Below are 12,323 nucleotides of genomic sequence, written 5' to 3' on the forward strand. Positions count from 1 at the left end.
CTTCCTCAGCCTCCCAAGTAGGTGGGATTACAGGCATGCGCCACCATGCCCGGCTAAATTTTTTTGTATTTTTAGTAGAAATGGAGTTTCTCCGTGTTGGTCAGGCTGGTCTCGAACTCCTGACCTCAGGTGATCCGCCCGCCTCGGCCTCCCAAAGTGCTGGGATTACAGGCGTGACCCATCACGCCTGGCTTAAAATGTTTAAATATGTATTTTCTACCTGGCCTGCCCTAGATTTTGTTTTTTGTTTTTTGTTTTTTGTTTTTTTTTTTGAGACAGAATCTCACACAGTCACCCATGCTAGAGTTACAGTGGCACAATCTCGGCTCACTGCAACCTCCGCTTCCCGGGTTCAAGCGATTCTTCTGCCTCAGCCTCCTGAGTAGCTGGGACTATAAGTGTGCACCACCACGCCCAGCTAATTTTGGTATTTTTAGTAGAGACGGGGTTTCACCGTGTTGGCCAGGCTGGTCTCAAACTCCTAACCTCGTGATCCGCCTGCCTTGGCCTCCCAAAGTGTTGGGATTACAGATGTGAGCCACCGGGCCTGGCCTAGATTTTTTTTCTTAATCACTGCAGTTAACTCAGCTCTGCAACCCCTTGCCCCTAATTTAATTACATTTCCTATCCCAATAACACCTAGTTATGATCATTACTTCTCAAGGCAACTTCCTCTTCCCTCTCTTTATTTCACTGCTTCATCATTACTCCCAGTCACTATCCCTTTTTCCTAAAGAAGTGTTTCACGGATTTTTGACTGACTAAGCAAGCATGGAGCCATCCAGTTGCCTGTTACGTCTTTCAAGCAATATCCTGTAGCACGTGACATTAAGAAGAGATATCTTTTAAGTCAAAGACAGCACCCACAACCCCAGGTGGGGACAAGTGTGGAGCAAATTGCAACATGACTGAGAAGAAAGAATAAAAATCTGGGATATCTGGGTTCTAGCCTTTGGGTCTCCCTAAACTCAAAACTTGAACCTCCTGAGAAAATCCTTGCGACTTACCCTTTCTGGGTTTCACTTTCAACATCTTTAGAAATAAAAGAGACATACCTTTCACTTCATGTCTGTAATGGATAGACTAAAAGAAAAAGGCAGTAGGCTGGTTGTGGTGGCTCACACCTGTAATCCCAGCACTTTGGGGGGCTGAGGCAGGTAGATCACCTGAGGTCAGGAGTTCAAGACCAGCCTGGCCAACATGGTGAAACCCCATCTCTGTTAAAATACCAAAAAAATTAGCCAGGTGTGGTGGCAGGCACCTGTAATCCCAGCTACTCAGGAGGCTGAGGCAGGAGAATGGCTTGAACCCGGGAGGTGAGGGTTTCAGTGAGCTGATACCGTGCCACTGCACTCCAGCCTGGGTGACAGGAGCGAAACTGCGTCTCAAAAAAAAAAAAAAAAAAAAAGCGGTTGATCAAATGATGCTTTGAACTCTTGGTAAATAGCCCTATTGCTGTTATATTTGTGTGGACTGAGATCTTAGATAGAGGTAAAGTTATCTTTGAAAAGAAAACTCTGGCTAGCTGTATATTGAATCTGGCAGCACTGGCAACCCCTACTACCTGTTAAGGTCCTAAACTTTACCAAATATAACCAGTAAACGTTTCATCCCCAATAATAAGGCTTTTAATCAGAGGGTATTAAGGGTCCGGAGAAAACCCAATCTGAAGGTCATTGAACAAGGTACTTGTGGCCTCTAGACTGTGAAGTAAACTCATGGCAACATCTTTCAGGACTAGCTGTAATCTCCACACAATACATTGTTTTTTCAGAGAGGACATGACGAGACATGAGTTATTGCAATTACCGCCTGAGGCATAGCAACTGTCTAATATGTTTGATGACCTGTCACAAACACAGGTCAGAAAATAGCTTCATATAATTTTCATTCTTGATCTCTACACCCAGTCTACTTATTTTCTTTTAATATTTTTAACCTCAAGTAATTTTATTGGTCTTTGATAAATGTATTATTTCTAGACTTATAAAAATTGATATGGAATATGTAATAGAGAAAGAAGAGAGAATATATCAATTTTTTTTTGAGACAAAATCTCACTCTGTCACCCAGGCTGGAGTGCAGTGATGGGATCTCGACTTACTGCAACCTCTGCCTGCCGGGTTCAAGCGATTCTCCTGCCTCAGGCACCTGAGTAGCTGGGATTACAGGCGTGTGCCACCATGCCTTGCTAATCTTTGTGTATTTAGTAGAGACGGGGTTTCGCCATGTTGGCCAGGCTGGTCTCAAACTCCTGACCTCAGGTGATCTGCCCACCTTGACCTCCCAAAGTGTTGGGATTACAGGCGTGAGCCACCTTTGGAAAAGGTGTTCCTTAATTGATAAAAGCTCATGAAATCTGCCTTTTGTATAATTGTTTAAGATTCTGGTGTTTGGACCAGCTCCTTGCAGAATACATATTGCTCTGAATTTTAAGCCAAAATAATTTTTCCTCTCTGGTGTATTTTATAATCACTGTCTGGAAAAAAAACTTCTTCAATTAAAGTTAATTAAGGAAGCACCAATATATGATACTATGCTGTTATTACAGAAGAAACTCAAAGAGCATTTGCTCTTCTAGGAATTCTGAGTCTTGAATTGGCAACACTGACACCCTCAGCGACCATCATTGCTGTCCACGACTTCCAGCATTTTCAGAATTCTTTTGCTATCCCGTTGACATGAACAAAGAATTCAGCTAAGGATTCAGAAATGATGGGAGAGGCAGTCAGGCTGACAAACGAAGATATAAGTGCAGCTCTGAGCAGGGTTTTGTGTTGTGAGGGAAGTAAAATGAGGGTTTGGAGAGAGTAAAATTACCACCTCCCACTGCATTAAAGAACATTTCCTGGAAAGGGTGGAGTTTGAAAGACTTGGTGCTAATTCAAAAAGATGGAATGCCATCTTTTTTTTTTCCTTGCTTTATATATCCAGCAGCAAAACAAAATTGTTCTGCTGTGCTAGAAAATTTGGCTTGTGAGTCGTGTACACAACTCAGGAGTGTGACACAGCTACCAGCTTTCCTCCTAACTCTCAAGGGAAGAAAATTCAAGTTCTGTCTAGGCTCACTCTGTAAAGTGGGAAACTTGCTGGTTTTGTAGGCTTTTTTTCCCCTTCTTTCCCTCTCTCAGCTTCTCCCTGCTTCTCAGAAGATGGAGTTGTGATGCCTGCAACTTACCAAATTTATCTATGAATCAGATTCCAGTGGGAGACCCCTAAAGCAGAGGGAGAATAAGGAGTTCTCCCCATGATGGAAAATATCCAAAGACAAGGTTTCATGGAGCAAAGAATTCTGGCTAGATTTGGTTTGTAAGTGGATCCCTCCCCACTGTGTGTACACTTTATCTGTCTCTTTGCTTCTTCCCCACCCTCTTTCCCAGCTCTCTCTCTGTCTCTCTCTTGTTCCCTGACCCTTTTTTCTTCCTATGCATACTTTTTTCTTTCCCTTTTTAATCTCTATATCTTAATCCTACCAATGGCCCTCTGAGAATTTATTAGCCATGATAGGGATTCTTAGGCCTGAGATTTCTTATCAAAAAATATTTTTAAAGCATTAACCGTGTGCTGAGCTCTGTGCTGGATACTTTAGGAGATTCAAAAATAAGACCAGTCTCTTCTCTTCAGAAGTTTCCAGTAGATAAAGGGGTAACATCACTATAATATAGGAAAGAGTATTTAGTGGAGGTAAAAACTACGAATGTTGAGAGTGTTGAGAGTAGGGAGGAGAAGATCAGGAGAATCTTCGTGTTCCCACCAGAGAACCAACCTGACCACTCCAGGGTATGGTATTCAGGCATTTGGCCTGAAATGTCTTCTTCTTTACTCTCTCCCATCTGACTGTCTCCTACTTTAGGGCTCAGCTTAGATGTCCCCGATTCCAGGAAGTCCCCTAACACCCTAAACTAGGTTTGGGACTTTCCAGTGTCTCCCATCATGTCCAGTACTGGTCCTTGCAGCACTCTCCACACTGACTTGAAGTTTCTTACTTGTCTCTTCAAGTGTTGGAAATGAGTTCTGGAGAAGAGAGCCCAGGTTGTTTACCTTTGCAGCACAGTTGCAGAATAATCCCTGCCCCAGGAGTGGCTCAGTAAAGGTTTATTGAAGAGATCATCCAGGAAAAGGGAATGGCATGGCAGAGCTCAGAGGCACAAACTGCCTGGCATAGAGATTTGCAGCGTGGCTTGCGCTGGAGTCCGTTTCGTCTGCCTCTCCACGGCCTTTGCTTCACCCACTACTGCCTCTCTTACGTTCGGCCTCTCACCTCCCTCTCCTTCTGCTAGTAAACATGCTCAAGTCCCACCCATTTAGAAAACTTCCCCCTTCAAGTATTAGCCTTTCCTTCTCTTTAGTATCAAACTTCAAAAAATAATGGTTTCTATCTCCTGCCTACCCATCCTCACCTTCTGCTTACTCTTCAGCCCGCTGAATCTGTCTGCTGTCTCCACCACTGACTTTTCCGTAGTAAAGGCTACAGCTATCCTGATTGCCAAATCTCACATTCCCTTTTCAGGAACTGTCCCGTTCGCCATCTTCGGCTGTTCCTCAAGACCAGTTTAGATGTTGCCTCCTTAGGTACACATCCCTGACCTCCAGAGCAGACTTAGCTGTCCCTTCCTGGCACCCTCTCGGAAACACTCTCTTCTCTTGGCCTCTGTGATTCTTCTATCTCCCTAACCAGTTTTTGTCTCTCTTTTGGGACTTCTCTTCTACCAGCTCTGAAAGAAAGTTCTGTCCTTGCTTCAGGTTTCTATCTTCGGCCTGTTGTCCTTCAACACACTCCCCATAAGGGACCCCATTCTCTCCAAGCCTTCGTTCATCACCCAGATGCTAATGAGCCCTAACCTTTATCCTGTCTTCTGTGAACTCTGGATCCGTTTCCAGTGTCCTACAGGATTTCTCCACCTGAATGTCCTCATGACACTTCCATCTCAGAATATACAACTTGAACTCATTACTTATACCTGCCACACCAAACCCTTTCCCAGTTTCAGTTGATCCCCTTTCCCAGTTTCAGTTGAAAGCGTTACCCAGACACCTCAGTCATCCTCAACAATTCCTTCTGCCTCACCCTCCACAGACAATTGGTCACCATGGCCTGATGCATGTACCTCTAGAATATCTCACATTAATCTGTTCCTCATGCCTGTCCCCAAGGCTCTCATCATCATCTCTCTCTCTTTTTTTTTTTTGTTGAGACAGAGTCTTGCTTTTTTTGCCCAGGCTGGAGTGCAGTGGTGCTATCCTGGCTCACTGCAACCTCCGCCTCCCAGGTTCAAGTGAGTCTCATGCCTCAGCCTCCAAGTAGCTGGGATTACAGGTGTGTGCCACCACTCCCAGCTAATTTTTGCTTTTTTTTTTTTTTTGGTAGAGACAGGGTTTCACCATGTTGGCCAGGCTGGTCTTGAACTCCTGGCCTCAAGCAATTTACCCACCTTAGCTTCCCAAAGTGTTGGGATTACAGGTGTCAGCCACCGTGCCCAGCCTGTCATCATCTCTTGCTAGGACTATTGCAGTAGCCTTCTAATTTGTCTCCCAATAACAAGGCAATCCAGCCCATCCTCCACATTGCCACATGGAAAATTTCTGAAGTACACATTTGATTGTGTCACTCAGCTGTTTTAAGAGTAGCCAGTGATTGATTTCTCTGCTGCTTCCAGGATCAAGTTCAAACTGTAACCTGAAAGACCTGTAAGCAGCAAAGTTTAAAGGCCATATCACCTTCCACTGTTCCCTACTTTCACCTTTCACTGTCTAGCTCTTTTTAAGCCTAATCCCCTCCTTCATAAACTATATCCCCTGCAAACACATAAAGCATTTTCAGGACTCCAGCCTTTTGTTTATATAGTGCTCTCAGCCTGGATTGTCTCCTCTATCCGATGAGATTCTGAAAAACTAAATGCTGTGTCAGTCATCTCTGTATATCCAATGGGTCCTTGCCCAATGCCTGGCATAAAATAGGGACTTAGTAAATTTTGAATGATTAATTCCCACTTCAAGGAAGACTCAGCTCTCAAATGTTATTTCTTCCCTGCTTCCCCTGACCACCTCCCACCTCTACCCCATTAGATGTGATTGTTCTTCCTGTGGGAATGTTCCTATTTATTTAACAAATATTTTGTGAGTTCCTGCCATACACCAGGCACTGTGCTAAGAAAGAGGAATATAAGATGCTTTCAGGGCCAGGCACAATGGCTCATGCTGGTAATCCCAACACTTTGGGAGGCCGAGGTGGGCAGATCAGTTGAGCCCAGGAGTTTGAGACCAGCCTGGGCAACATGGCAAAACCCCCTTTCTATTAAATACAAAACTTAGCTGGGCATGGTGGCATGTGACCGTAGTCCCAGCTACTTGAGAGGCTGAGGTAAGAGGATCACCTGAGCTCAGGAGGTAGAGGCTGCAGTGAGCTATGATAGTACCACTGCACTCCAGCCTGGGTGACAGAGTGAGACCCTGACTCAAAAAAAAAAAAAAAAAGAGAACAACAAGACATTTTCAGTTAAGGGTAATAGACTGATAAGTAATCATTTATAGCACTGTATGAATTTGACTTCTCTAGGAAACTCATATAAGTGGAATCATTAGTATTTGTCTTTTTGTGACTGGTTTATTTTACTTGGCATAAATGTCCTCAAGGTCCATCCATGTTATAGCAGGTGTCAGAATTTCCTGATTAATACTAGAGACTCACTTTTATAGCATACCTGTTTGTTTTGCCTAATTTTTTTTTTAATAGAGTCTCACTCTGTCGCCCCGGCTGGTGTGCAGTGGCACGATCTCAGCTCACTGCAACCTCTGCCTCCTGGGCTCAAGCAATTCATCTACCTCAGCCTCCCAAGTCGCTGGGATTACAGGTGCCCACCACTGCGCCCAGCTAATTTTTGTATTTTCAGTGGAGACGGGGTTTCGCCATGTTGGCCAAGCTGGTCTTGAACTCCTGACCTCAGGTGATCCGCCTGCCTCGGCCTCCCAAAGTGCTAGGATTACAGGCATGAGCCACTGCACCCAGCCTGTTCTGCCTAATTTTTTTTAAACCATGCATTAATGATGAAATAGTCACCGCTTTCATGACAGCTTTCCTTGCTCTCCAAACTGTGTATTATTACCATCTCTTCTGTATTCTAGGAGAGGAGGAAGAGAGGTGTATATGCCTCTTTATAGCCTGTGTAACATTCTGTTTTGTATTACAGCCATGTTTGTACTTGGGATGGGGACCTTAGCATCTCTTGTTGAACAGAGCGCTTTATACACAACAGACCAACACGTTTGGTTGGATGAATGGTCATATTCAACCTCTTCAGATGCCACTATTCATGGCAATTGACCATTGTCCACAGCCTCATATCAGAGAATCTCAAGGTTAAAAGGTGCTTAAAAATAATGTAGCCCAAGCATCCCTTAATGCTTCAATCTCCTTCACAACCCTGCACCAAACACTTATCCAGCCCATGTTCCAAAACCTCCAAGGCAGAACCCTTCACCCTTTGCCTACCAAAACCTGTATTCCTGTAACCTCTCCTGGCCCCATTCTGATCTCTGGAGAACATAGAACAACTCCATCCCTTCCTCCTCAGAGCAGCCTTTTCAATAGCTGAAGACTGCTCTCAAGTCTCCTGGGAATCTCTTTGCCAAGCTAAATATATCTCCATCCTCTAGTGAGAGGATTTCAAGAACCTTTACTATCTTGCCCATTGCCCTTGCTCTAAATAGGAGGTAAAATGACAATAATGGCCACATTGGGCACAGCATGGTTTTCTGTTGCAAGCTATCGACCCCAGATTGAACAGTCATAAGCTTTATGTAAGCAAAAAGAAAAAAAGTTTTACATCAGGTTTGAAAATAGGCTGCCAGTTGCCTCACTGCTCCAAACACCCTGCTGCCCACTTTGCCACCAGCTAGCAGGTGAGATTAGTGGATTGTGCAGTGGGAAGAGCCTTCCTCATTGGGCCTGTTTCCTTTTCTGTAAACTGAGGGAGTGGTTTGATCCCCACTTCCACAACACAACCAGGAAAGGGGTGGCATGCCTAAAAATGTCATTGTAAAGAAGATGCGATGCAGTGCTACTGCTAGAAGACTATTTGCAGAAATTTTCTACCAGCTAACTGAAATTAAGCATTGGGCCAGCTCTAGCCATTCATCCCTCTGGATGTGTACTGTTGAATTAGTTTCCCAGCGTAACATAGACTGCAGTGGTCTGGGCCAGCTCTCAACAGAGTAACAAGGAGGCAAGGTCTTTGGGCCTGCCCTGTCCCTCCTGTACCCCATCTCTCATTGTCCTGAATGCTCAGTTTCAAGAACCAAACTATGCTCACTGTGGATAGTTTGCTTCTGTGCATCTTTGAAACTCATTGATCAGGGATCTCCGAGAGGATAGGGACTGTATCTGTCTATTCACCCTGTACCCCTGCCTTCCCCCATTGCACCTTGCTCTTCAGAAAAAAAAAAAATTCATCCAACTGTTTATATTTTCGTGTGAATTTATGTCAGTGCATTATTTTCCCATTTTAAGTCTTATTTCTAATTATGGTCTCCAATTAAGGGGATTCCATCCTCAGCTAACAGGTAAGATTAGTGGATTGTGCAGTGGGAAGAACCTTCCTCATTGGGCCTCAGTTTCCTCATCTGTAAACTGAGAGAGTGCTTTGATCCCCAGCTCTGGTATCTAAGGATTGATGATTTATTTGGTGTTAGTAAATAAACCTAGGGGCCCTCTGTGCACTCCCAAACCCCTGGGCCCCCATCAAAACACTGTCACCTTGTATTAGGATCTCCAGATAAATAGAACCAATAGGGTTTGTGTGTGTGTGTGGTGTGTGTGTAAAGAGATTTATTACAAAGAATTGGCTCACACTTATTGAAGGCTGACAAGTCCCAAGTCCCAAGATCTGCAGGGTAAGTCAGCAAGCTAGAGACCCAGGAGAGCCTGTGGTACAGTTCCGGTCCAAAGGCTAGCAGTTACAGACCCAGGAAGAGCCAATATTTTAAGTCCACAGGCAGGAAAAAGTCAATATCCCAGTTTAAATGCAGCCAGGCAAGAGGAATTCTGTCTTACTCAGAGCAAGGATCTGTTTTGTTCTGTTCAGGCCTTTACTGATTGGATGAGGCCCACCCACATTATGGAAGACAAACTGCTTTACTCAGTCTACCGATTTAAATGTTCATCCCATCCAAAAACATCCAGAATAATGTTTGACCAAATATCTAAACATCCTGTGGCCCAGTCAAATTGACACATAAAATTCATCATCATACCCTTAGAGGTAGGTAACAGCCACTCAAAAGGCCTGGCCCTGTCGTGAACAAGAGAGGTATCAGACAGGCAAGTTCTTTGAACTCCTGGATATAAAGGCAAGGCCCATCCTTGGTCTCCGACTCTATCTCTTCCCCTAACACCCCTGCCCACAATTCCTACAATTTCTTTCCACTGCCATTCACATCTTTTTTTTAAGATGGAGTTTCACTCTTGTCGCCCAGGCTGGAGTGCAATGGTGCGGTCTCGGCTCACTGCAACCTTCACCTCCCAAGTTCAAGCGATTCTCTTGCCTCAGTTCCCTGAGTAGCTGGGATAACAGGCACCTGCCACCGCACCCAGCTAATTTTTGTATTTTTAGTAGAGACGGGGTTTCACCATTGTTGGCCAGGCTGGTGTCGAACTCCTGACCTCAGGTGATCCGCCTGCCTCGGCCTCCCAAAGTACTGGGATTACAGGCGTGAGCCACTGCGCCCAGCTATTTTTTTTTTTTTTTTAACATTAAGAAAATTTTAAGCCAAGCGCGGTGGCTCACGCCTATAATCCCAGCACTTTGGGAGGCCAAGGCAGGCAGATCACTTCAGGTCAGGAGTTCGAGACAAGCCTGAACAACTTGGTGAAACCCCATCTCTACTAAAAATACAAAAATTAGCTGGGCATGGTGGTACATGCCTGTAATTCCAGCTATTCGGGAGGCTGAGGCCGGAGAATGGCTTGAACCCAGGAGGCAGAGATTGCAGTGAGCCCAGATCACACCACTGCATTCCAGCCTGGGTGACAGAGTGAAAACTCTGTCTCAAAAAAATAAAAGAAGAAAAAGAAAATTTAAAAGGATTTTTAGGAAAATATTACTTATAAAATTACTAGATATTCATAAATTAAATAAAATTATTCTTTTTATAGCACACTGAAACAAAAGCCACAAACTCATCTGAAAAACTGTGAAACCACTCATCATTCATAGAGTATTACTAAACTGAATCTAAAGGTCAAAAAAAAGTACTGCAGTAAACCACATGATACGCAAAAGTAAAACACAACTTTTATCTTAGGCCCAGCCACCTGATATTAGAAGCTGGAGCGTTAAGCTGAGGTTGTCCACTTGCCCAAAAGAAATACAGTTTTCATTTGCCCATTCATTTTGTTTGCCCAATAATTCATTTAAACAAACAAGCAAATGTAATGAGCACCTACTATGTGTAAACACAGAGCTAGAGTGGGGGCAACACAACAATGAATAAGATGCAGCTTTTCCCTGGAAGATCTTGGTGGAGGACCAGATTGCAAATTCTTGCCTGGGCTTCAGAAATCAATTTAGTATCATGGCTGGGCGTAGTGGCTCACACCTGTAATCCTAGCACTTCGGGAGGCCGAGGTGGGCAGATCACCTGAGGTCAGAAGTTTGAGACCAGTCTGGCCAACATGGTGAAACCCCATCTCTACTAAAAAAAATACAAAAATTAGCCAGGCGTGGTGGCACGTGCCTATAATCCCAGGTACTGGGGAGGCTGAGGCAGGAGAAATGCTTCAACCTGGGGTGGGGAGCTGAGGTTGCAGTGAGCTGAGATAGAGTCACTTCACTCCAGCCTGAGCGAAAGAGCAAGACTCTGTCTTTAAAAAACAAAAAACAAGCATCGTTTCTCCTAGGAAGCCCTCTCTGATCCCCCAGGGCCCCTCTGAGACTGGGCCCCTCCAGGCACACCCCCATCACAGCACTGTGACACATTCTATAATTGCTTCTGCATATCTCCAGCCCCCTCACTGCTTGGGGACATCCAAGAGGACAAAGACTGCATCTGTCTCTTCACCGTGTCGCAGCCCCAGCACGTGGTAGTTGCTTAATAAATGTGGAAAGACTTAGCAGATGATGAAGTCAAACAAATTTCTGCCCAGTGAACATAAGGACCACAGTAGCAGTATGCTATAAGGAGACTGAGGCAGGAGTGATTAACTTCAGAGGCCATAGAAAGAAATGTTTAAGCTGAGTGTTGGAGAATAAATACAAATTCAGTAGGCAGAGAGCTCTCCATGAAGAGAATGCAGCCAACAGCAAAGGCACTGAGGCTCAACAGAGCAAAGTTTGCTTGAATGGAGGGAAGCAGGTCATCATGGCTGAAGCAGGATTTGAGGGGCTGGGAGAGCTGAGGCGGTGGGCAAAGGGGATAAAGAGGTGTACAAAGCCACACGTGAAGGGGCTTGTTTGTCGCATGCAGAAACGTGAGTCTCCTGAGGGTCCTCCGCCAGCCCAAGCATGAGGTAGTCAGCTCAGTGCTCCGGCCAGATAACCCAGGCTGTAGTACAGGCATGGACCCAGCGGAGGGACAGGCGGGACTGGAGAAAGGAAGAGGGATGGGTTCATGTGTGAGTCCAGAAAGAGATGCTAAGGGCCCAACCATGACAGTAGCAGTGAGGATGGCAATGAGAAAATCAATGTGAGGGATAGGTAGGAGATAAAATCAATAAGACTTAGTGGGTTTTTTTTAATGGCTAATGCATGAAGGCTAGGAAAATATATGTACAATCAATTGAAGTGCTCACATCTTTCAAGAGTTCATTATGTCAAAAACATTCTGCAGCTGTTTCATACAAGGAAATCTTTTTTTTTTTTTTTTGAGTTGGAGTCTTGCTCTGTCACCCAGGCTGAAGTGCAGTGGTGCCATCATAGCTCACTGCAACCTCTGCCTTCCAGGTTCAAGCCATTCTCCTGCTTCAGCCTCCTGAGTAGCTGGGATTATAGGTGCCCGCCACCACCCCAGCTAACTTTTTTTTTTTTTTTTGTAGAGACAGGGTTTCACCATGTTGGCCAGGCTGGTCTTGAACTCCTGACCCCAGGTGATCCACCTGCCTCAGCCTCCCAAAGTGCTGGGATTACAGGCGTGAGCCACTGTGCCCGGCCAGGAAATCATCATTTTTATTCCTATTTTAAAAACAACCTTCTAGTGGTCATTTCTCTCCACTTCCCCCAACTTTGTACCTCAGTACCTATTGGCAGTTATCAAACAGTCTTGTGCTGTTAGAAATAACTTTCCTGGCCAGGCTCGGTGGCTCATGCCTGTAATCCCAAAACTCTGGCAGG

The sequence above is a fragment of the Homo sapiens genome, chromosome 1 (assembly GCF_000001405.40).
Source record: "Homo sapiens chromosome 1, GRCh38.p14 Primary Assembly".
In the NCBI taxonomy this organism is placed as follows: domain Eukaryota; kingdom Metazoa; phylum Chordata; class Mammalia; order Primates; family Hominidae; genus Homo; species Homo sapiens.